The 24,356-nt window shown below is 50.6% G+C and overlaps 1 protein-coding gene, 1 long non-coding RNA gene and 1 pseudogene across 35 annotated transcripts in view, besides 4 other annotated features; 1 reads left to right on the forward strand and 2 right to left on the reverse strand.

The window, feature by feature from the left end:
- Window positions 1-24,356, forward strand: part of EHMT1 (euchromatic histone lysine methyltransferase 1) — a 217,123-nt gene that overhangs the window by 164,806 nt on the left and 27,961 nt on the right. For 24 of the 34 annotated variants that reach the window (XM_047423872.1, XM_047423875.1, XM_047423878.1 and 21 more), the window contains 3 exons: window positions 7,038-7,160; window positions 15,003-15,104; window positions 17,070-17,174. In XM_047423872.1, the coding sequence (XP_047279828.1) occupies window positions 7,038-7,160; window positions 15,003-15,104; window positions 17,070-17,174 (330 nt within the window). Of the gene's footprint in view, window positions 1-295; window positions 584-3,389; window positions 5,148-7,037; window positions 7,161-8,244; window positions 10,365-15,002; window positions 15,105-17,069; window positions 17,175-19,046; window positions 19,386-24,356 lie in introns of those variants that run through there. The other 10 variants (XM_024447678.2, XM_047423886.1, XM_047423888.1 and 7 more) reach the window with 6 other exon arrangements.
- Window positions 263-4,596, reverse strand: LOC651337 (uncharacterized). Its single transcript, NR_147508.1, has 3 exons — window positions 4,366-4,596; window positions 3,248-3,394; window positions 263-2,970 (listed from the first exon to the last, which is right to left on the reverse strand). It is a non-coding gene; the product is annotated as an uncharacterized LOC651337 (long non-coding RNA).
- Window positions 1,568-2,212: an enhancer, noted in NCBI's record as "NANOG-H3K4me1 hESC enhancer chr9:140679830-140680474 (GRCh37/hg19 assembly coordinates)". NCBI's record gives its function as "activates a minimal SCP1, AML or CMV promoter by ChIP-STARR-seq in naive H9 embryonic stem cells {active_cell/tissue: H9 hESC(naive)}" and the evidence as "EXISTENCE:reporter gene assay evidence [ECO:0000049][PMID:30033119]".
- Window positions 2,859-3,503: an enhancer, noted in NCBI's record as "H3K4me1 hESC enhancer chr9:140681121-140681765 (GRCh37/hg19 assembly coordinates)". NCBI's record gives its function as "activates a minimal SCP1, AML or CMV promoter by ChIP-STARR-seq in primed H9 embryonic stem cells {active_cell/tissue: H9 hESC(primed)}" and the evidence as "EXISTENCE:reporter gene assay evidence [ECO:0000049][PMID:30033119]".
- LOC100418938 (forkhead box H1 pseudogene) lies at window positions 3,658-4,559 on the reverse strand (annotated as a pseudogene).
- Window positions 4,049-4,568: an enhancer, noted in NCBI's record as "H3K27ac-H3K4me1 hESC enhancer chr9:140682311-140682830 (GRCh37/hg19 assembly coordinates)". NCBI's record gives its function as "activates a minimal SCP1, AML or CMV promoter by ChIP-STARR-seq in primed H9 embryonic stem cells {active_cell/tissue: H9 hESC(primed)}" and the evidence as "EXISTENCE:reporter gene assay evidence [ECO:0000049][PMID:30033119]".
- Window positions 4,569-5,088: an enhancer, noted in NCBI's record as "H3K27ac-H3K4me1 hESC enhancer chr9:140682831-140683350 (GRCh37/hg19 assembly coordinates)". NCBI's record gives its function as "activates a minimal SCP1, AML or CMV promoter by ChIP-STARR-seq in primed H9 embryonic stem cells {active_cell/tissue: H9 hESC(primed)}" and the evidence as "EXISTENCE:reporter gene assay evidence [ECO:0000049][PMID:30033119]".

Raw genomic sequence — 24,356 nt, forward strand, 5'->3', positions numbered from 1 at the left:
TTCCGGAGTCATAACTGATGGTGTTTTGTTACTATTTGCCTGGAATGATTTTTCCCTCCTTTTATTCTGACCTTTTCCCTCGTTTTTGGATATATGTATTTTAAACGTAGAACTTGATTTTTATAAATTTAGTCTAACAGTCTTGGTATTTTAATAGGAACTTTTAGTCCTTTATTTATACCTAATGTCTTATATTGTAGTTTTAATTTCTAGCTGTCTTAGTCCATTTTCTCTAGCTATAAGAGAATACTTGAGACCGGGTCATTTATAAAGAAAAGAAATTTATTTCTCACAGTTCTGCAGGCTGGGAAGCCCAAGGTCGAGGGGCTGCCTTTGGTGACTTATGGTGAGGACCTCGTGCTGTTCCCGAACACAGCCAGGAACCACGCCAAGAGGAAGATGCTCCAGCACAGCCTTGCTGTGGACCAGGCCGCCCACAGGGAGCAGGTCCATTCCTGGGGGCTGACTCCGCCTTTCAGAGAGGCGTGGCTCCATCTTCACAGCCTCGTAGCCTCTTAAAGGCCCAGCCTCAAAACCTCATTGGGGCCCCCAGCCCCGGTAAATAAATTGCATTCAGACCATAGTGCCAGCCTTTTGAAGCCAATACTTTTTTGGTCGTTCGTGCATCTTTTGAATTGGTTTTATTTCGATTTTGCCGTTTCTCTTCTCTCTGGAAGTTACAGACTTTCCACTTTTTGGTCGTTCTTGCGTCTTTTGAATTGGTTTTATTTTGATTTTGCCATTTCTCTTCTCTCTGTTAGTTACAAACTTTCCAGTTTTTGCCCCAGTGGTTCCTGTCAGTCTCACATGCAGACTTGACTTACCAAGGTCAAGACTGAATGAGATGATGATGGGGGAGCCAAGCCCTGGCAGGGGGGTGAGGGAGGGAGCAGCTGAGTGAACTGGGGTCCAGTAAGCCAGGGGTTTGTGGGGGGCTCCTGGAGGCTGAGAGGAAAGTGTGCCGTGAGAAGCGCTGAGCCGAGGTAGGCACTGGGGGCACTGGGGGCCAGCTCCATGCAGGAGGAGCCACGGAGGCTGCTGGGTATGTCAGGGAGAAGCAGAAAAGGATTCAGAGACAGTGGGGTGGCCTCAAGACGAGTCATGTGGGCTGTGGTTCATGGTGAGACCATGAGGGAAGTGGCTGATCTGGTGGGAACAGGCTTGTGGGAGGGGGTGAGGTCAGGGAGTGGGGGGTGGTCGTCCAGACACAGGCAGAGCTGGAGTGAGGGCTGGGCTGTTCAGGGCAGGAGTGATGCCAGGACGTTCATAGGTGGGGCTCTGAGGAAGAGGAAGAGCGTGGTCTGGAAGAGGCAGGAGCTGGTGTTGTGGGGCTCGAGAGCAGATGCTGGTGGAGGGCCAGGCATTCGGCTGGGAGGCCCTCTCCTCTCCTGGGAGGCCTAGTGAAGGGTGTGGCATGATTCTGTTCTGTTGCGGATGGACCTGAATGGGGATGAGTGTGCAGAGCCACGTGGGGGAATGGACCAGACAGGAACAAGGGCTGTATGAGTGCTACCCCGATGGCCCCAGGAGCTGGGCAAGGCCATGAATGTGGGTGCGCTGAGCCCGTGAGGGTGGGGTGCGCTGAGCCCGTGAGGGTGGGCCGTGCTGAGCCCCTGAGGGTGGGGTGTGCTGAGCCCGTGAGGGTGGGCCGTGCTGAGCCCATTCTCCATGTCCACTGCTGGCTGTGGAGGCTTCTTGAAGACATTCCTCCTGTGCCTGGAATTCCAGGTTGCTGGTGGTTTTCCTCAGGTCATGTAAGGAATGATGCCACTGTCTTCTGACTTCCATTCTTCCTTTTGAGAATTTAGCTTGTCACTCCTTTGAAAGACACTGGGTTCTCTTTGGCTTTCTTTTTTAAATATTAAAATTAAAACCCAAAAACATATGGTTGCATCATGCATACAGAAAGGTCCTTAAAATGTAAACATCTGGTTAACAAATCATCCTACTCTGGCCCTGACATTCGCACCCCCGTGAGACACAGCGTTGCTGGCTCCCTGGACACCTGGTGGACGCCTGGGTGCCCTCCCCGGGAACAGCAGCCGTTTTGGTCTCACCGCCCTGCAAGTGCCTCGCATAGCAGGGTTCCGTTTGTTTGCTTTTAACCTTTATGCTAACTGAGTTGTCCAGCGTGAGTTCCTTTGTGTCTGCTTCCGTCAGTCAGGAAAACAAGGGAGTGTAGAAAAGGGACATGGCTGTGGGGCTGAGTGGCCTGGCCCTGCCAGGGCTCCCTGCTGACTGCCTGTGCTCTGTGCTTGTCTGAAACGTCGTCTTTGGGGAGGCCGAGTGAGGGGAGTACAGAGCTCTTCGTTCTGTTTTACAGCCTCTTGTGAGTTTAGTGCCGTGAAATAACATGATGTATTGGGAGGAAATCATTATGTCCCTTGGTGCTGCTGTCCATGCAGTGCCCGGGGTCTGACCAGTCTGGAACTTCGGGTTAAATTCCTAGCCTGATGTTTAATTTGATAACCCGTCCTGCAGAACTTACTGTTGCTGGTCTTAGAGGGATTTCTATTTTTTCTTCCCCTTAGAATCTAAGCGGTTTTCCTGAGATTCTCCAGGAAGAGAGAGAGATTGGCTTTATCTCTAGTTTGCCCTGAATCCAAGGGTGCTGTTTCTCAGGGTTTCAGCATCTGCAGGGGTGTCTCACATCTCACACACACTCTTTGGGCAGGCTCTGGCCACACCAGTGAGGGCCTGTGGTGTCATCTCCCCCGGGCTCTGGTCTTGGTCGTGTGGAGTCATCTCTCCCGGGCTCCGGTCTTGGTCGTGTGGAGTCATCTCTCCCGGGCTCTGGTCTTGGTTGTGTGGAGTCATCTCCCTCCAGCTCCAGTCTTGGTCGTGTGGCGTCATCTCTCCCTCCGGCTCCGGTCTTGGTCTCATGTGGTGTCATCTCCCCTGGGCTCCCATCTTGGCCGTGTGGCCTCATCTCTCCCGGGCTCCCGTCTTGGTCATGTGGAGTCATCTCCCCTGTGCACAGACAGAGAAATCCATTGTGCAAAAAGTGCTTCCCTGGCAGCCGACCTGGAGTCCACCCCAGCCTTTCGCCGGTGCTGGGGACATCAGCGTTCTGGCTCCCAGGCTGGGGAGTGGCTCCGAGGATCGGTCACGGAGCCTCCTGGGTGTCCGAGCTGCCTCAAGCGCCCCGGGGTCTTTTCTGACTTGATCTGTGTTTTTGTCCCTGCGGAGGAGTCGGGAGCTGTGCCTCCATCTGCTGCAGCTCTGGGGTGCTGCTGCCCTCTCTCACCTGCTGCCCTTCGGTGTCCTGGTCCCTCGTGTTGCAAGATTTCATGCCGTGTCTGCAGTTTCTGGAGAGCACTGAGCGAGGTGCCACACGCTGCCATCCGAACTCACCACAGACACTCATGTTTTCATCGGTCTGCTCTTCTGTCATCTCTCATTAAAAAAAAATGTTGTAAATTCCTTTACTGTTATCTCCCCCACGCCCCTACCAAGACCACGTAGGGTCCAGTCTTGATTCCCTAACCCCTTTTCCTGAAAAGGTACTACCTCCTTCCCAGGCTGCATCTGCCATTCGGTGACGGCTGGTGACGGATGGATGGGTAGTGGGCTGAGAAGAGGGGACTAGGAAGGGCTATTCCAGGCTCAGCCCTGCCTCCCACAGCCTTGCCTCTGGGTGTAGGGGAAACAGAGGCATGACTGACCAGGGCCAGGGCCGTGCCCAGCTCGGCCACGGCCACACGTGGGGTAGTTAGTAAACACCATGGACTCCCAGCAAGGCTGCTGCCTGGTGTTTCGAGGCTGCTGTGGTCGCAGACAACCGCCTCGCCTTGGCTCCCTGGCAACAAGCTGGGGGTGGAAGCGGGAGGGAGGAGGGGCCTGTCTTAAGAGCCTCACAGGCTGCACCGGGAGAGCAGCCCGCCTGGGCCAGGGGCCGCCAGGTCCCCAGGGTGCCACCGAAACATCGTAGATGCTTTTGTTGGGTGACACACCCTGGAAGAGGGCGTCTAGATCCCAGCCCTGGGGGCCCTCAGGTTTCAGGGGCCACCCCCCAGTAGGCAGAGCTGGTTGACGGTGGACATTGGGGATAGGAGGTGGGTGGGGGTGCCAAGGGCATTACCACATTGGGAGTGTAGATTGGCAAGTAGGAGGTGGGCAGCTGCCCCCAGAGGGAGGCCCTGTGTCCCCCACTGGACAGCCCCCCAGGAACTGAGGTGCCCTGCAGTAAGTGGAGAGGCCAGGCCCTAGGCTCCGGGAAGAGGGTTGAGGGCCTGATGGCTCCCGCTGGCAAAGTCTCCCCCTCCACTCTCGTGGGGCCAGGAAGGGGGCAGAGGGGCCACAGAGGCCTCTCAGAGGAGGGCAGGGGTGGGGTGGTCACTGCCTTCTCCCCACTGCACCCCGTACCTGCCTGCAGAAGCTGGGCTGCTCTGTGGCACCAGCCCTGGCCAGGATGCTCCTCCCTGGAGTCCCCTAGCAGGGACTGCATGCTGAAGCCATTGCTGGGCGGTGGCAGATGACCGAGCGGCTGGTAGGACTGGCATGCAGCACTCAGGGGGCCCAGGACGTTGGCGAAGGCTCCACCCGCACCGCCTTCTGCCAGCGCCTCAGCCGGGGTGACGCTCACGCAGGTGTAAGGAGGTTGCAGGTTTAGGGATCTTGTAGGTGAAAGGAGGTTGCAGGCGTACGGAGGTTGCAGGTGTAGGGAGATTGCAGGTGTAGGGAAGTTGCAGGTGTAGGGGTCCTTGCAGGTGCAGGGATCTTGTAGGTGAAGGGAGGTTGCAGGTGTAGGGGGCCTTGCGGGCTTAGAGGGCCTCACAGGTGTAGGGGATTGCCGTGCTGCAGGTGTCTCTTGTCCCCTCGGGGACTGGGAGAGCGACTGTGCCTCTGGGCCTGCAGGCGGGAGTCGCTGCGGGCCCAATGCCTGGGAGGCGGACCGCGATGGGTAGCCGTTGGCGGGGAGTGCTCGCGAGCCTGGGAAGGGCGCCGTCCGTCAGAGCCTCGCGGAGGGTGAGCGGCCGGCGGCTTCGACCTTGGAGTCCCAGGCTGTGTGGGACTTGGTCAGTGTCAGCCGCTCCGCTTGCGGTGAGGGTTTGGGGAGCGCGTGGGAGGTGGGTCCTGCTCCGCGTCTGCGTGGGGTCCAGGATGCAGCTGGATGGGGGGCGCGACCTGTTTCTTGGCGCTGGCAGGTCTGTTTGGAAATGCCGCCGCGCGGGTGTCGCTCTGACTCTTCCTTTTGCTCCGCTGCTTCCCTCCACTCTTAGAGCTTTCTTGGACTTTGTCTCAGTGCCCTGTGTTCTCATGGGCGGGGTCATTTCCTTCTGCTTACCCGGGTCCTGGGCGCGGTGTGGGTCTGAGGGCAACGCCCTGGGGAGCCGCAGCCTCCCGTTTCCTGTGGGCCGCCGAGAGCTGCCCGAGCCCTCCTCCCCGGGGAAGGACACCCATCGTCCCCTATGCTCCGCCCGAAGCCGTCAGCCCCTCCTGCCCTTGCACACTCGGGTCTGTCTGCGCTTCCGCCTGCGCTGCCGGCCTGGTGCTGGCGCAGGGGCGTTCGGTGCCACCCTCTCCATTGTGGGCGCACCCTCTCTTCTTTCACCAGGATTTTTGGGGTCTGGGGGAGCAGCCTCTGTGTGCTGAGCGTGCGGGCAGAGCCACAGCTCCTCTGCACAGCACGGGCCTCGCTCTCTACCTCGTTTTGTGTTTTTTTAAGCTTACTATTCGTTAAAAATTAGCTGTCGTAGACTTCTGACGCTACTTTACCTTCAGGTTTGGCAGCCGGACCTTGGCTTTGAGCTTTGGTGTTTGAAGTCAGCCATGGGTCACTGTGCGCCTCCAGGCCTCAGCCTTCTGACCTCTGACCCTTGGTCTGTGGACCCTGCGTTCTCTTTGGGGAAGCCCAGCTCCTTCCGGTCAAAGTCTCCTGAGCCTCTCACTTGCCCCTCTGTTTTGTGGTTTTTTGTTTTGTTTTGTTTTGTTTTTGTAACAGAGTTCACTTTTGTTGCCCAGGCTGGAGTGCAGTGGTGCAATCTGGGCTCACTGCAACCTCTGCCTCCCAGGTTCAAGCAACTCTCCTGCCTCAGCCTCCTGCGTAGCTGGGATTACAGGCGCCAGGCACCACGCCTGGTTAATTTTTGTATTTTTAGTAGAGATGGGGTTTCACCATGTTGGCCAGGCTGGTCTCGAACGCCTGACCTCAGGTGATCCACCTGCCTTGGCCTCCCAAAGTGCTGGGATGACAGGCGTGAGCTGCCGTGCCCGGCCTCTCCACCCCCTTAGCCGTTATGAGTTAGCCTCATTTTCCATATAGACCATTCTAGGGCTGTTTAAACATTCCTTATTTAATTGTGTTACTTTTGGTTTTTAATTACTAATAGTAAAAACAATACTATTTTCAACGTTTTTTCATAATGTTTATGTTATAAATTAAATACTAGGTCTTTGTCATCTAAGAAGTTTTTCCTCATGGAGAAAAGGTTTCAACAGCCAAACAGCTGATTGGCTTTTAGCACACAACCAATTTTAAAGTCGAGGGCTTCTTAAGTTTCAGACCAAGAAAAATTTACCTGCCAGTTAATTGGTCTTTCAAGTTTCTCCGTTTGTTTGGAAAAATGGAAACTGTTCCGGAATGCATGCTACTGGAAATCAGGATTTTCCACTTATTTTGGCGAGTACTAAATCAGTGAGAGGATGCTGTGTGGCCTGGCAGGGTGAACCGGCACCTCCCTCCTGCCTCCTCTCTGCTGAGGGGCCCCTCCCTCCCCCTTCTTTGTCTGCTTTAGAAGGTTGTCACTGTCCTCCTCATTTCTAAAGGTGTTGTCACACTCCTGAGCTATAAACATTTACTATCAAATTACCTTAGAAGTGGAATGAAATCTAGCAGAAATATTCTGCTTAGACTAAAGGTTTGATAATAATAGAATAATTATGTCTTTGAATACGTGTTTAGAAAACTCAGACATTGTTGGTCACTGAAACAGTGCAGCTCTCTTTTTTTGAGTGTGGAAGCTTGTAAGTCACTTCTCCCCAGGCGGTGGCTACCGTCACAGCCCTCCCATACACCTGAACTGTTGTTTCACTAGGCGGGCGCTAATATTGACACCTGCTCAGAAGACCAGAGGACCCCGTTGATGGAAGCAGCCGAAAACAACCATCTGGAAGCAGTGAAGTACCTCATCAAGGCTGGGGCCCTGGTGGATCCCAAGGTATGTTCCCCTGTCAGAATCAACGTCCTAGTGTGTGTGTAGACGTTTCTCAGAAAGCTGAGCAAGGGACATCCTTACTGACATCTCCAGGACTTGGGGCCTTCACACACTGACCCAGTTGTCCAGAAATAGTTCCTTCATCTCACTTTGGTTACCTGGTTTATTATTAAAAACTACTAGTGAGTGCTCACTCTCTACAGAGCCTGACAACAGACAGGTGAGCGAATGACGGGTTTGCTGTGCAGAAGGTGTTCGCCTTACAGTACATCGTCTCACCCTGTCTTCAGCCCAGAGCAATTAGGCAAGAAAAAGAAATCAAAGGCGTTCACATTGGAAAGGAAGAAGTAAAACTGCCTCTGTTCACAGATGACATGTTTTTATATGTAGAAAATCCTAAAGAATATGCAAAAATATTGTAAGCTAACAAAACCAATTCAGCAAAACAGGATAAAAAATTAACACAAAAAAATCAGTTGCATTTCTATATACTTTGAATGAAGTATTCAAAAAAGAAATTAAGAAAACGGTTTCATTTACAGTAGCATCAAAAAGAATAAAATACTTAGGAGTGAGTTTAACCAAGAAGACAAAAGACTTGTATTTGTTAGTTGAAAACTAACAAACATTGCTGAAGGAAATTAAAGAAGACCTGAATAAATAGAAAGACATCCCATGTTCACAGATGAGAAGACTGAATGTGGTTAAAATGGCAGGTGCCACCCAACAGCCTGTAGAGTCCATGGAGTCCTTACTAAAATCCTAACAGCTTTTTTGTTTTTTTGAGACAGTCTTGCTCTGTCACCCAGATTGGAGTGCAGTGGCACAATCTCGGCCTACTGCAACCTCCACCTCCCAGGTTCAAGCAATTCTCCTGCCTCAGCCTCCCTAGTAGCTGAGATTACAGGCACGCACCACCATGCCTGGCTAATTTTTGGTATTTTTAGTAGAGATGGGGTTTCACCATGTTGGCCAAGCTGGTCTCGAACTCCTGACCTCAGGTGATCCGCCCGCCTCAGCCTCCCATGGTGCTGGGATTATGAGCATGAGCCACCATGCCCAGCGCTAACAGCTTTTTTTTTTACAGATACAGAAAACTTCTAAAGTTTATACGGAGTCTCAAGAGACCCAGAGAAGCCAAACAATTTTGTGAAAGAACAGAGTTGGAGAACTCACACTTGCTGATTTCAAAACTTACTATATACGGCCACAGTAATGAAAACAGTGTGGGACTGGCATAAAGACAGAAATAGAGACCAATGGAATAAAATAAAAAGCCCAGAAATAAACGATTGCATATATGGTCACTGATTTTTGGCAAAGGTTACAAAGACCATTCAATGGGGAAAAGACTGTCTTTTCAACAGATGGTGCTGAGACAGCTGGATATCCACATCCAGAAGCGTGAGGTTGGACCCTCATCTAACACTGTATTCAAAAATTAATGGAAAATACAGCTGGGCGTGGTGGCTCACGCCTGTAATCCCAGCACGTTGGGAGGCTGAGGCAGGTGGATCACCTGAGGTCAGGAATTCAAGACCAGTCTGTCCAACATGGTGAAACCCGGTCTCTACTAAAAATATAAAAATTAGCCGGGCGTGGTGATGGGTGCCTGTAATCCCAGCTACCTGGGAGGCTGAGGCAGGAGAATCGATTGAACCCGGGAGGCGGAAGTTGCAGTGAGCCGAGATCACGCCACTGCGCTCCAACCTGGGTGACAAGAGCGAAACTCTGTTTCAAAAAAAAGGAAAACGTATGTGGATGAAAGGCCCGTACTTAAGAGCTAAAACCAGAACACTCTTTGAAGAAGACATGGGGGGAAAGCTTTATGACACTGGATTTGACAATGATTTCTTGGATATGATACAAAAGCATGATCAAAGAAATAGACAAACTTGATTAAAATTAAAAACGTTTGGCCCTGGGAAATGATGTGCAGCCGGAAAGACAGCCACCCCCTTGCCTGTCACGCACTCACGTTCGTAGGGAACCTGGCACTAAACCGTCCGTAGATGACCCGCTTCTGGGTTGGGGTTTCATGCGCGGCAAAGCAGCTCCCTCAGTACGATCTGTTGAAAGTCAGCCCCCGATCCAAGGGTTTGTAGAGATAATAAAAGGTTTTAAAATGGGGAAAAATAAGTAAACTTTTGTACATCAAAGATCATGACCAATAGCGTGAAAAGACCACCTACAGAATGAGGAAATGTATTTACAAATTATCTGATAAGAGGTTTTTATGCAGAATATATAAAGAGGTTGTACATCTCAACAACAACAGAAAATTAAACCACCCAATTCAGAAATGGGCAAAGAAGGGGCTTGAGTAGCCATCTCTCTAAGGAAGGCCCACAAGGGCCATTTCCCACATGAAAAGGTGTCCAGCATCACCAGCCACCAGGGAAGCCAAATCAGAGCCACAGGTGAGACGCACCTCAGAGGATGTGGCAATATCGGAACTCTCACGCGTTGCTAGTGGGGATGTAAACGCTGCAGCCATTGTGGAAACCAGTCTGGTGGTTCCTCAGATCGCTAAGCATAGGATTACGCTGTGATCTGTAGCAACTCCACTCCTAAGTGTATGCCACAGGCATGCAAACCAGGAACACAAAGAGATCTTCATACAACAGTGTTTACTGCAGCATTGTTCACAGTAGCTGAAGGACAGAAACAACCCAGATGTCTCAGCAGATGCCTGCGTCAGCACATTCAGTCCATCCATACGATGGGATGTTACTCAGCCATAAAAAGTAATGAAATTTTGACCTATGAACAGCATGGATGGACCTCGAGGACATTCTGCTGAGGGAAAGAAGCCAGGCACAAGGACAAATCCTGTACGATGTGACCGATAGAAGCCATCGAGAGTAGGGAGATTCATAGAGACAGAAAGTAGACTGGAGATTCCCTGGGGCTGGGGGATGGTATTTTGCCTCATGATTGTAGAGCTTTGTTTTGGGTAATGAAAAAGTTTTGGAAATAGTGGTGATTGTGAATGTGTTTAATGCCACAAAACTGTATAAAATGTTTTAAATGGCAAGTTTGGTTATATATTACCATAACAACATTTAAATTCTTAGTCTTTCATATTAATACACATTTTTCCAACAACAAAGTGATCACACTCCTCATAGTAATTCAACTCCTGCCTCATGTCACATTAAACTTTCACTGTTTTCTCATTAAATATTATTCTTTGAAACACCTAAATGGCTGTATCAATTTATGATATAATTTTACCATTTTTAGTCAAATTTGAATATTTAATATTTATCTTATTTTCAATTTTTATTATAAACAATGTTTCAGTAAACATTTTTATAGTTAAATATTTGCACATTAGGCTTCTTTAGGACAGATTTCTGGCTGTAGAATTGCTAGATCAAAGTAGGCAAACATTTGGCCAGGTTCAGTGGCTTGCTTCTGTAATGCTAGTGCTTTGGGAGGCTGAGGCAGAAGGATGGCCTGAGGTGAGGAGTTTGAGATCAGCCTGGACAGCATAGTGAGACCCCATCTCTATAAGAAATGAAAAATTAGCTGGGCGTGGTGGCACGTGCCTGTAGTCATAGCCCCTTGGGAGGCTGAGGCAGGAGCATCACCTGAGCACAGGAGTTTGAGGCTACAGTGAGCTGGATTAGCACCACTGCACTTTAGCCCGGGCGACAGAGTGAGACCCCATCTCTAAGAAAAAAAAAAAAAAAAAGCTAGAGAAAAACAGCACATTACATCTAGACAGACAACGTTATGAAATATTACTGACTTCTCATTTGAAACCAGGGAGGCAGTTTTTATTGTGCTGAAAGAAGCAAAGCCAAAAAAATGTGAACCCAGAATCCTACATCCAGTAAACGTACCCTTCAGCGAATGATGGTGAAATCAAACATGTTCGGGTAAAAAAGCAAAAGGCAGATAAGCTTGCTTGGAATCCTGAAGCTTCCAGGAGGAAAACTTAGCGCGTTGGGAATGAATGAGGGGCACCAGATGGCGGATATGAAGACATTTTTCTATTTAAATTTCCTAAAATGTGAGAGGTCATTTAAACTCAAATAATGTCATAAGGTGGAGTTTAGACACGTTTGGAAGCACAGTAAGTCTTCACTTAACACTGTTGACAGGTCCTTAGAGCATGCGACTTCTTCAAGCATTGAAGCCAGTTTACCACAGACTGATTGATCTAAACAAGAGTGAAGTTCTTCTGCCATATTCCTGGTCACAAAAACATCGGTAAGCTTCCAAATCAAGGCCAAAGTATTTCTGATATTAAACACTGAAATACATGTGAGCTGTACAGACATTTAAGAAAGATTAATACAAACAAGATAAATATTTACCCAGTTATTCCAGGTCAGGGTTGTGAGCGAACAGAGCCTATCCTGGCAACTCAGGTCACCTGGCAGGAAGCAGTCCTGGGCCAGGACACCATCCTATCGCAGGGTGCACACACACACACACACACACACACACTCTCACACTCACATACACACACAGACACACACACATAAACACATTCACTCAGACCAGGACAACGTAGACACACCCATTCACCTAACATGCGAGTCTTTGGGATGTGAGTGAAATTGAGGTACCTGGAGAAAACGCACACAGACACGGGAGGACGTGCAGACTCCACAGACAGTGGCCCCGGCTGGGAGTGGTTTTTGTTTGTTTGTTTGTTTGTTTTTAACCTCATCAATGTTATAACAAAACAACGCTGAATGAAACGATCCTATTGACGACCTGCTGTGAAATACAGGATAATAACTACCCAAAGGAGGGCAGTGTGAAAGTGGAATCACACTGTTGTAAAGGTATTTTATTGTGGGAGGTGGTACAGTATTAATCTAAGAAGACCAGTAAAGACGAATATTGTAATCCCTGGAGAAAGCACCAAGAAAATAAAACAAATAGAGCTTTTCAGGAAAAAAAAACTAGTAGAGGAAGTAAAATGTAATACTGAAAAACTGTGCAACTAGAATGCAGGAATAAAAGCAGATGGGACAAATAGAAAACAAACAGCAGAGCGACAGATGCCAACCTCACCCTGTCAGTAGTTATGCTGCAGACTCGCTCTCATCCTAAAAGGCAGAGGTTTGTCTGATGGCATCGAAAGCGAGAAACCAGCCATGTCTTCCTGCAGCACTCCTGCTTCCAACACGAAGACGCCAGCCAGGCTGGAGAAGCGCGCTTGCACGTGGCAAGCAGGTGAATCCGAGGAGAGGCAAATTACGAAGCCTGGAAGACCACAGAGGCCGCCTTTGTGATTCCAGCACGGGGAAGCGTCTTTTAAGACACAAAAAAGCACAAAAATGATTGACAAAGTTAAGTGCATTAAAATTTAAGAATTTCTCTTCAAAAAGGTGTCACAAAGGACACGAACAGGCAGTCTAAAAACTGGGGGAAGATTTTGCAATGCATCGGCCAAAGATTAATATCCAAAAATATAAAGAACTACAAATGAGGCCAAGTGCAGTGGCTCACGCCTGTAATCCCAGCACTTTGGGAGGCTGAGGCGGGTGGATCATGAGGTCAGGAGATCGAGGCCATCCTGGCTAACACAGTGAAACCCCGTCTCTACTAAAAATACAAAAAATTAGCTGGGCGTGGTGGTGGGCGCCTGTAGTCCCAGCTACTCGGGAGGCTGAGGTAGGAGAATGACGTGAACCTGGGAGGCGGCATTGGCAGTGAGCTGAGATCGCACCGCTGCACTCCAGCCTGGGCGACAGAGCCAGACTCCATCTCAAAAAAAAAAAAAAAAAGAAATGAAACCACACAGAAAAATAGGCAAAGAACATAAACGTGCAGTTCCCAGAAAAAGAAATACATGCATATGACCAACAAGCAGATGAAAACACAGGACTGAGGGACCATCTTACAGTCACTGAATTCCATACAACGTAACAGGTGGAAAAGACTGACGGGGCGGGACATAGAGCAGCAGGCAGGGTCCTTACTGGTGGGGCGCGGGGACTGCAGGCTGCCTGGCAAGCAGGGCCTCACACCAGTAGGGTCTGTGATGTGTCTGCAGGTGATATACACTGTGATCTTGAGAATTTAAAAGGGTGTAAAAACATCATTTATGGATATATGTAGTAAAGGTATTGAGATCCGTGGGAATGATGAGTAACGAATTCAGGATAGTGATAACTTCTCGGAAGGAGGCAGGAAAAGAAACCAGACAGGCGCTGTGTGGGGTGTCCCTTGGGTGGGGGTGGGCTCCAGTGTCTTGAGCTTCTGTTTGTGTGCCTGCAGACCTCACAGCTAGCTGCTGTCACTGAACCCGACAGAAGCCTTTCCTTACCTGCAGCCCCGCTCTTTGCCACCTTCACGTCTATTCCCACGGGGTTCCTTTGGCTGACTCTCAATCCCCTCACCCCACCACTCTGCCGCTCCCAGCCCTGCCCTCCTCCTGCCTGGTGTCTTGCTCTTGTGACAGCTGGCTTCCTTCACTAAGCTTCCTTTGCTGGCGTCTGTCTCTCACCTGCTTGATTCAGAAGTGCTTGCCCAAGGTCTCTGCCAGGTGCACCTGCTTCTGTCCTGAATTCTGTGACAGTCTGCCAGCAGTTAGGAGATTGTCAGCTGCACTATTCCAGCGATTAAAGACACTTGAAAATTAAGGCAGACCTTTAACAACCATGCATCATTTTGTATTCATAATAAAATTACAATTCTGAACACTAGCCGTGTGGGAACCGGGTGTGCTGGCTTTCCTTGAGGAAGGTGAGCATGCTGATTTAGCCCCAGGTAGGGGAGCAGTATGTGCAGTGATGCCTGCGAAACTCTATGACTGCTACACGGACTCCACCGAGATAAGGGGAGAAAGGTAATGAAGGAACATGGTTAAGTGGAGACAGGAACAGGGGAGCAAAGCAAAGCAAACACCTGAAGGGAGACGGTGGTGGAGTGCGTCTGCGGGCCTGTGTGAGGAGCACAGGCAGGAAGAACCCTGTGTAAGGCGTGTGGATGGCACAGCGGTGTGGGCGGCACCGGCTCCCCTGCCTCTTCTGGAGCTTCCTGGGTCTGACCTCCAACCTTGCATGTCTTTGTTTTCCTTTGAGATGGTTTGATAGGTGTGATCTATTTGGTCTCCTCAGGGAAACAGAGCTGAAAGGAAATGAGAGGGTGTTCCCAATCTGGGCATGGTGGCTCATGCCTGTAATCCCAGCACTGTAATCCCAGTTACGATGCCTACGACTCCCAGACCAAAGTGGGAGGATTGCTTGGGGTCAGGAGTTCAAAAACAGCCTAGGCAGTGTAGCAAGACCCTGTCTCTAGGAAAGAAAAAAGTACATTAGCCAGTCATGGTGGTGCACACCTGTAGTCCCAGCTACGTGGGAGGCTGAGGCAGGAGGATCACTTGAGCATGGGAATCAGAGGCTGTGGTGAGCTGTGATCGCACCACTGCACTCCAGCCTGGGCGATACAGCAAGACCCCATCTCAAAAAGGAGAGAAAGAAAAAAAAAACAAGATGTGCCCAGCAGCAAAGGAAGCAAGAGGAGGGCAGAGTCCCTGGCGTTTCCGGAGCCGTGGGGTGGGCCTGGCGCTCTTTGTGTTCCCACTTTTTGCCATCTATTATTTTAAGTTCTGTGGTACACGGACAACTATTGCTGAATCATTGACGGTGTCTTCACTGTGCCAGGCGACTGACCACTCATGGGGCCACAGGGGGCTGCACACAGCGCTTGGACCTCGGCTGTTCCCTCGGCCTCAGCCTGGGTTTCCTTGTCATTTGAGCAGGACAGTACCCCACCCGCATGGTAGACACCGGGTTCTCCTGGATCCCGCACTCAGGGCTGGCACACCAGGATCACAGGTATGGATTCTTTGACTAAGTGGCATTTCTGTTGCAGGACGCAGAGGGCTCTACGTGTTTGCACCTGGCTGCCAAGAAAGGCCACTACGAAGTGGTCCAGTACCTGCTTTCAAATGGACAGATGGACGTCAACTGTCAGGTACAGCCACCCCCTCCCCTTAGCAGTACACTGTGTGGACTGGCTACGGAAACTCACTGTTCTGCAGCTCCTGGTCCCACCCCCATTCTCCATGGCGTCCCCTCCCACGCACAGAGCCAGCTCGGGCCCTCCAGCGTCCTCTTCCACACTTAGGGCCAGCTCGGACCCTCCACAGCGTCCCATCCCACACACAGAGCCAGCTCGGGCCCTCCAGCGTCCTCTTCCACACTCAGGGCCAGCTCGGACCCTCCACGGCATCGCCTTCCACACACAGGGTTAGCTCAAGCCCTTGGGCCCTGGAGTGCCTTGTCCCCTCCCTGTCCCCTTCTTCCCTGGCCTGCTGTGAATGCTCACAGCAGGGCAGGCTCTGCACTGTGTCTGGCTGGAGGCTCCTCCCTTGCTCTCCATCAGCTGTGTCTAGGTATTACCATTTGAGGGAGGTGTCACTAGCCTCCCTCCTTGGCACCCGTCTTCCTTCCTGCTCATTGTCCGTCTCTGCCCCACAGCCAGCGCCACGGGGCAGGGTTTGCCATGCATGTGTGCTGAACCGCGGCGCCTCACACACAGGGGCCACCTGCCTCACGAGTGAATGACTGGGGAGATCAAAGAAGGGCAGGCTTTGAGGCTGCTCAGCTCAGCATGCACTGGGAGTCCCTCCTGCATGGATTGAGGCTGCTCACCATGCACTGGGGGTCCCTCCTGCATGGACCCACAGCTCTGGGATAAGTGCCATCCTCACGCTCGCTCTCACTCCTTCCTTCAGGAGGCTTGGTCCGAGTCTTTTTAGCCCAGTGGTTGCCCACCCAGTTGTTGACGCCCAGCTTCTGTGCCCTCTTGGCTGTGGCAGCGTCCCCATGGGCTGGAAGCAGCAGCGTCTGTGATATGCTCAAAGGCCCATACTCTCGCCTTTGCCCTGAGCGCCCAGAGGTCGGAGCCCCGCCTGGTCCCTGCATCTGAAGCATCCTCTGACCTCTTCTCTCTGACGTTGTACCCTCCTCCATTGAGCAGGGGGGCTGGGCTCCAGGAGGCTGCGCTCTGCTGTCCCTGCTGTGTTCCCAGTGCCTGTGGTGGTGCTGACTGTCGACCGCAGGGGAGATGTAGCTTTAATCATGAAGGCTGCTGTGTCTGTGACAGTAGGATGTGCAGGCTGACTGTCCACCGCAGGGGAGATGTAGCTTTAATCGTGGAGGCTGCTGTGTCTGTGACATTGGGATGTGCAGGTCCTTTGACGGGTGCTGGGGAAGAGGCTGAGTCTTCTGCCTTCAGAGTAGGAATTGGCCATATGACCCTCATTTTCAGAAAAGTTGCCTTTTTCTGGCTTAAAGAAAATTGCCCGGGCCCACTGACTGGACTCAGGAGTGGCAGGAGCCGCAGAGCTGATCAGCCTGGGTGGGCATTCTGCTCCCTGCCCAGGAGGAAGCAGGGGCGTCCGCCTCTGTCCACCTGTCCGTCTCCCACCCACAGTTCCCAGCTGCTGCTCTGATGGGGTCCCTGGCTCTCCTGCACGGAGCCACCATTGGAGGCTGAAGGAGGAGCAGAACCTGCTACAGCCCAGACTTCCTGCCAGCCAAGGCTGCTGGTGCGCTCCGGGTCTGGCCTGGGCTTACGAAGTTTCAGCTCCCGTGTGTGTGCCATTAGACTCGTTGCACGCAGCTGTGTTGGTGCGTCCCCAGTGAGTGGTGCCCAACTGGGAGCGGGCAAGGCCGACAGCACAGGGCATGTCGGGCAGGGTTGTTGGGCCTGGGCCAGTCCTGGTTCTGCCTTCATCCTGCGCTTGTGGAGCTACCTGGGCTGTGCTCTGAGGAAGAACTGTGGCCTCTGAAGGTTGCATTCAGGTCCTGAGTGAGACGCCTGCACGAGGGGCATGGTACCTGGGAGGTGCAGAGACCTCGGCGTGGGAGTCCTCATTGCTCTGGTGGTTGCCGGTCTCTGGAGCGATGACAGCTTTGTCCTCTTCCCTGGCAGGATGACGGAGGCTGGACACCCATGATCTGGGCCACAGAGTACAAGCACGTGGACCTCGTGAAGCTGCTGCTGTCCAAGGGCTCTGACATCAACATCCGAGACAACGTAAGTTCGTCACACCCTCCCCGGGAGCCGTGTCCTGGAGGGGTGGGGACCTCCTCCCCCAGAAGGTTCTTTTCTCAAAAGCAGAACCCTGGCACCTGGTGGCGGCTTTGACCTCTTCCTGTGGCAGCATCGGCCCGGCACTGTGCTGTGGCTGTCCTGTGCTGGATGCAGATGGGGGATGTGAGGTCCCAGCAGAGGCCACCCTCTAGGGATCTGCGGGTTCAGAGGGCGCTGCACTGCCCTGGTCTCCCTCCTGCTGCCTCACGGGGCTGTGCCTGGGCCTGAGGCTACTGACCCTGGTGCGGGTGCCACAGCACCTCTGGCTCTCCCTTTGTTTTTGTTTTTGTTTCTTTTATGGATGGAGTCTCGCTCTGTCGCCCAGGCTAGAGTGCAGTGGCGTAATCTTGGCTCACTGCAACCTCTGCCTCCTGGGTTCAAGTGATTCTCATGCCTCCGCCTCCCCAGTAGCTGGGATTACAGGTGTGTGCCACCGTGTCTGGCTAATTTTTGTATTTTTTATTTGTTTGTTTCTGAGACAGAGTCTCGCTCTGTCACCCAGGCTGGAGTGCAGTGGTGTGATCTCAGCTCACTGCAACCTCCACCTCCCGGGTTTAAGTGATTCTCCTGCCTCAGCCTCTGGAGTAGTTGGGATTATAGGCGCCCACGACCACACCTGGCTAATTTTTGTATTTTTAGTAGAGACGGGGTTTTACCGTGTTGGCCAGACTGGTCTTGAACCCCGACCTCAGGTGATCTGCCCGCCTCAGCCTTCCATAGAGCTGGGATTACAGGTGTGAGCCACTGCGCCCGGCCAATTTTTGTAGTTTTAGTAGAGACAGGGTTTAGCCATGTTGGCCAGGCTGGTCTTGAACTCCTGACCTCAGGTGATCTGCCCACCTCATCCTCCCAAAGGATTACAGGCATGAGCCACCACGCCTGGCCCCTGGCTCTCTCTTTGAAACAAAGGAAAGAAAAGTGAACATTATCATACCACGGTTTTCTAGGATGTGATTTAAGATGCTTCAGTGACAATTAGTTTTGTAAGGCCCATTTGTTTGCTCAGAAAATAGAGTTTGGAGCTGAGATAGGAGGACTCCCCAGCCTGAGAGTGGCAGCAGGTGACTGATTAACTCAAAAGGGTGTTCACTAGAAGATCTTCAGGGACCCACAAAACCAGTGGGCCTGCCAGGGGGCTGGGTGTGGCACTGGGCACGACAGCAAGGGGCGAGGGGGTACTCTGGTCACCTCCCAAGACGGGCATAGACACACTGCAGCCCACAGAGCTGTGTCCACCGTCACAGAGGGTTCAGAAGCCAGAAATGGGAGGTGCTGCAGCCCTCAGAGGTGTGTCCACCTTCACAGAGGGTTCCAGAGGCCAGAAATGGGAGGTGCTGTAGCCCACAGAGCTGTGTCTGCCTTCACAGAGGGTTCCAGAGGCCAGAAATGGGAAGTCCAGCCACAAATAAACCCACTAAATTGATAATAAGAAAGAAGATTTGACACAGAAAAAGAAGATTTCTAAAAGCACACTATTAAATCTCCAATGTGCTGAAGTCTGGTGTCTGAGGAGGGAGGGCTGACACTTCCTCTCAGAGCTTGAGAACGGCGTGGGCACGGGCCCTTGCCATTCATTGTTGGCACGGGGAGGTCTGCATTTGGAACCCCTCGCTGCATGTAAGCAGACCCCACCTCCCACCTAGAAACAGGGACCACTGGCTGTGGGCACCCGCTGCCTCCCTGCAGGCACGCAGGCCTCTCTGGAGTGACTGGTCCTGAGCTGCAGTGCCTCCTCCGTGGGCTGCAGGGCTTCCATGACTGTATCCAGGGGGTTTCTACCTCATTCCACCGGAGTTCTTTCCCACTGCGGGTTAGGATGACGGCACCATGAAGAGAGGAGCCCTGAGCCGGCAGAAGGAAGAGAAGAGGGAAGCAGAGGAGCCCTGAGCTGGTGGAAGGCTGTGGCGGGTACCTTGGAGGAAGAGAGGAGGGAAGCAAAGGCAGAGAACAAGGCAGAGGCCACCCCCAGGTGGGGCCACCTCACCCACCGCCCCCGGAGACTGCGTGGCGGGGAAGGCGGCCCTAGTGTGGCTGGTCGGCCTGCATGCCTGGGCAGTTTGCAGCCTGTCCAGGTGTCAGAGCTGTTAGCTCTCTGATGCTGGTGGCTGTTCCCCCAGAATGGAAGCATTGATTAAATTTCAAGTTTGTTATTTATACAATGAAACACTTCATTAATTTAACCACTTTATTGCTGTATAATAGGTAGGCTGCATATATTCAAAGTACACACTTGGGTGAATTTTCACCCAGAAGCCATTGTTGCTGTCGGAAGAGTGAGCCCAGTCCTCCCTCATGCCCTGATGATCTTCAGGTGATCCTCCGCGCTTCACAGCCATGCCCAGCCCACCCCTGCCACCCATTGCTGGGCTTTCTGTTGTCTGCGTGTCTCGGTTTTATAGAAAAGGGCTCTCACCATGGGCAGCTTTCCCTCGCGTCCTTAAGCCGAGATCCCCATTTTCGTTGCCTGAAGTGCCCATTGTGTGAATGTGTCTGTTTACCCTTCACCTATCAGTGGACATTAGGTTGTTTCTGATTTTTGGTGGTTACTAAGAGAGATGCTGTGAATACTCATGCCTTCATTTTTCTTGATTAAACCCCTGGGAGTAGAATGGTTAGAACATATGACAGGTGTCTAGGCTTAACATTTTCAGAGACTGCCAGTAGCCAGGCATGGTGACACACACCTGTGGTCCCAGGTACTCGGGAGGCTAAGGTGGGAAGATCGCTTGAGCCCAGGAGGTCAAGGCTGCAGTAAGCTGAGATCGCACCACTGCACCCCAGCCTGTCTCAAAAATTAAAAAAAAAAAAAAAAACCTGCCAAACTGCTTTCCAAGTGATTGTACCATCTCTAGTGTATGAGAGTGCATTCATCCGTTCTCACACTGCTATCAGGGTTCTACCTAAGACTGTAATTTATAAACAAAAGAGGTTTAATTGACTCACCCTTCAGCGTGGCTGGGGGGTCCTCGGGAAACTTAACAATCATGGCAGAAGGTGAAGGAGAAGCAAAGCACGTCTTACATGGTGGCAGGAGAGATTGAGGAGCATTGTACCACACTTTAAAACCAGCTCTTGTGAGAACTCACTCACATGAGAACAGCATGGGAGACCCACCCCCATAATCCAATCAGGTCCCTCCCTTGACACATGGGGATTACAATTCAAGACAAGATTTGGGTGGGGACACAGAGCCAACCCATATCAGACAGTCCTGGTTCCTCCGCATCCTTCCCAACACTTAGCATGGTCAGTCTTTAACTTTTATCCATTTTAATAGGTGTGTAGTGATATCTTGTGGTTTTAGTTTTCAGTTCATTTCATTTCTCTAATGACAGTTGATGTTAAGCATCTTTTTATGGGCTCATTTACGATCCATATATCTTTTTTAATGAAGTGTCTGTTCAAATATTTTTCTTGCTTATTATTGGGTATTCTGGAGTTTTAAGAGTTCATGTTCTGGATATAAGTCCTTTATCAGATATATGGTTTACAGATCTGTCTTTGGAAGTGCAGAATTTTAAAAGTTTTTATAAAGTTTGGTTTATCAACGTTTTTCTTTATTTTTAACTGGATCCTGTTTTTGGCGTTCTGTTTAAGAAATCACTGCCTAATCTGAGAACCCAAAGATATTCTCCCACATTTTCTTATACGAGTTTTATGGTTTGGGGGTTTACATTTAGGTCTGTGTTTTATTATAGTTGACTTTTGTATGTGGTGTGAGGTATGGATTGAACTTTTTTTTTTTGGCTTATGGATGCCTAGTTCAGTGCCATTTGTTGAGAAAACCATTCTTTCTACATAGAATTGACTCTGTACCATTGCCAAAAGCCAGTTGTCTGCATTTGTGAGTCAGTTACCCATGTGTTATTCCACATGTGTCAGTCATTTGCATGTCTGTCAGTCATCCATGTATGAGTCCGTCCATGTGTGTCAGTCATCTGCATGTGTGTCCACATGTGTCAGTTGTCCATGTGTGAGTCAGTCATCTGCATGTCTGTCAGTCGTCCACATGTGTCAGTCCACATGTCTGTCAGTCGTCCACATGTGAGAGTCTGCATGTGTGAGTCAGTCATCTGCATGTGTGTGTCTCTCATCCGCATGTGTGAGTCCATCATCTGCATGTGTCATTCGTCCACGTGTGAGTCGTCCACGTGTGAGTCATCTGCATGTCTGTCAGTCGTCCATGTGTCAGTCCACATGTGTGTCAGTTGTCTACATGTAAGGGTCAGTCATCTGCATGTATGAGTCAGTCATCTGCATGTCTGTGAGTCTGTCGTCCACATGTATGAGTTGGTCATCCATGTCAGTTGTCTGCGTATGTATCAGTCATCCGCATGTGTGAGCCAGTCGTCCACATGTCAGAGTCAGTTGTCCACATGTGTGTAAAGTCAGTCGTCCAGATGTGTGTGTCAGCTCCAGGGCCCTCTCTTTTGATGCATTGATCTGCATATCTGCCTTTAGGCAAGTACTGTCCTTTCTTGACTGATGTAGCTTTACAGTAGGTCTTGCAAAATCATTTTTCTCCTCCCAAACTTGATACTGCTATTCTCCTATATTTTACACATATATATGTTCTGAACACCATAATAGCCATGTAGTTATTCTGTTTAAACAGTCAGTGGTCTTTTTTTTTTTTTTTAAGATGGAGTCTTGCTCCGTCGCCCAGGCTGGAATGCAGTGGCATGATCTTGGCTCACTGTAACCTCCGCCTCCCGGGTTCGAGCTATTCTCATGCCTCAGCCTCCTGAGTAGCTGGGATTACAGGCACGAGCCACCACGCCTGGCTAATTTTTGTATTTTTAGTAGAGACGGGGTTTCACCATCTTGGTCAGGCTGGTCTCAAACTCCTGACCTCGTGATCCACTCACCTTGGCCTCCCATAGTGCTGGGATTACAGGTGTGAGCGACTGTGCCCGGCCTGGTTTTTTCTTTTTTTTTTTGGAGACAGTCTCACCCTGTCACCCAGGCTGGAGTGCAGTGGTGCGATAGCTCACTGCAACCTCCACCTCCCTGGTTCAAGCGATTCTCCTGCCTCAGCCTCCCAAGTAGCTGGGATTACAGGCACATGGCACCACGCCTGGCTAATTTTTGTATTTTTATTAGGGATGGGGGTTTCACCATGTTGGCTAGGCTGGTTTCAAACTCCCAACCTCAGGTGATCTGCCCGCTTTGGCCTCCCACAGTGCTGGGATTGCAGAAATGAGCCACCACGCCCAGCCGAGTGGTCTGTTTGAAAGACTGCAGAAGAGCTCTGCAGTTGCTCCTGCCATCCCCATCCCTGTCCCTGCCACGCTTCTCCACCTTGGTGGGCTCATGCTCCTGATGTTGCTTCCCTTCCGCTGGCCTCACTCCCTTTACCTTTTCTGTGGTGTTGGTCTGCTTGTGATGAGCTCTTGCAGCTTTTTTTTTTTGAAATGGAGTTTTGCTCTTTCACCCAGGCTGGAGTGCAGTGGTGCTATCTTGGCTCACTGCAACCGCCTTCTTCCAGGTTTCAGGCGATTCTCCTGCCTCAGCCTCCTGAGTACCTGGGATTATAGGCGCTGGCCACCACGCCCGGGAAATTTTTGTGTTTTTAGTAGAGATGGGTTTCACCATGTTGGCCAGGCTGGTCTCAAACTCCTGACCTCATGATCCGCCCGCCTCGGACTCCCAAAGTGCTGGGATTACAGGCGTAAGCCCCTGTGCCCAGCCCTCTTACAGCTCTTTAATGCCTGGAAAGTCCTTATTTTGCTTTCATCTTTGAAAGATATTCTTAGAATTCTGGATGCGTAGTTATTTCTTCCAATGCTTTAAATGGCGGTTTCCCTGGGTCCTCACCTGCAGTGTTTGCAGTGAGAAATCCAGTGCCACCACACAGTTATTTCTCTGTGTATAATGTGTCTTTTTTATATGGCTGCTTTTAAAATGTTTTTTCTGTATCTCTTGGTTTTAGCAATTGGATTTTCCTCTAAGCCTTAGTTTGTCTGTAAAGCAATTTGATTACTGAAGTGCTTTGGTGTTATTTTGTGTGTGTGCACGTAGGGTTCATTGAGCTTCTTGGATCTGTGGATTTAGGGTTTTTGACAAATTTGGAAATTTTTCAGTCATTATTTCTTCAAATAATGTTTTCTGCCCACCACGCTTTCCAGTATTCCAGCTGTGTATGTAGGAGTTCTCAGAGTGGTTCCACAGCTCACTGGTGCTCTTTTCAATTTTTAAATTATTATTTTTTCCCTCTGTGTTTCAGTTGAGCAGGTTTTTGTTGGTTTGTCTTCTAGTCCACTCATCTTTTCTTCTGCACGTGATGCTGTTGAGCTCATCCGGTCTGTGTGCTTACATTCTAGGCATTGTCGTTTTCAGCTCTAAAAGTTCTGTTGGAGTCTTTCAAACATTTCCTAACATGTTTCTACTTAACTTTCGAACCTATAGAATACAGTTATACCAATGGCTTTATTTACTTATTTATTTATTTATTTATTTATTTATTTATTTATTTGTTTATTTTAAGGCAGAGTTTCACTCTTTTGCCCAGGCTGGAGTGCAGTGGTGCAATCTTGGCCCATTGTAACCTCCGCCTCCCAGGTTCAAGCCATTCTCCTGCCTCAGCCTCCCGAGTAACTGGAATTACAGGCGCGCACGACCACGCCTGGCTAAGTTTTGTATTTTTAGTAGAGGCGGGGTTTCACCACGTTGCCCAGGCTGGTCTCGAACTCCTGACCTCAAGTGATTCCCCCGCCAAGGTCTCCCAAAGTGCTGGGATTACAAGTGTGAGCCACCTCACCCAGCCCACCAATGGCTTTAATGACCTTGTTTGCTAATCCAGCATCTGTGTCAAAGCCGGGCTTTTTGATTGACTGGGTTTTTCTCCCCATTGTGGGTCATGTTTCCTGTTCCTTTGCACATCTGGTAACCTGTAGCCGATGCCAGGATGTGGGTGGGTTTTGCAAAACTTGTATGGTGCTAAGGACTCTTCTTCGTGTGAATGTTCTTGAACTTTGTTCTGGAACTCAGTCACTTGAAAGCAGTCAGATCATGTTGGATTTTGCTTTTCAGGTTTGTTAGGTGGGTCTGGAGCCACCGAGGCAGGTCCGTCCATTGTCCTCCAGCCCACAGCCTGTAGATGGAGAGTGTGGCCTGCCTGGTTGT

The sequence above is a fragment of the Homo sapiens genome, chromosome 9 (genome assembly GCF_000001405.40).
Source record: "Homo sapiens chromosome 9, GRCh38.p14 Primary Assembly".
Lineage (NCBI taxonomy): Eukaryota > Metazoa > Chordata > Mammalia > Primates > Hominidae > Homo > Homo sapiens.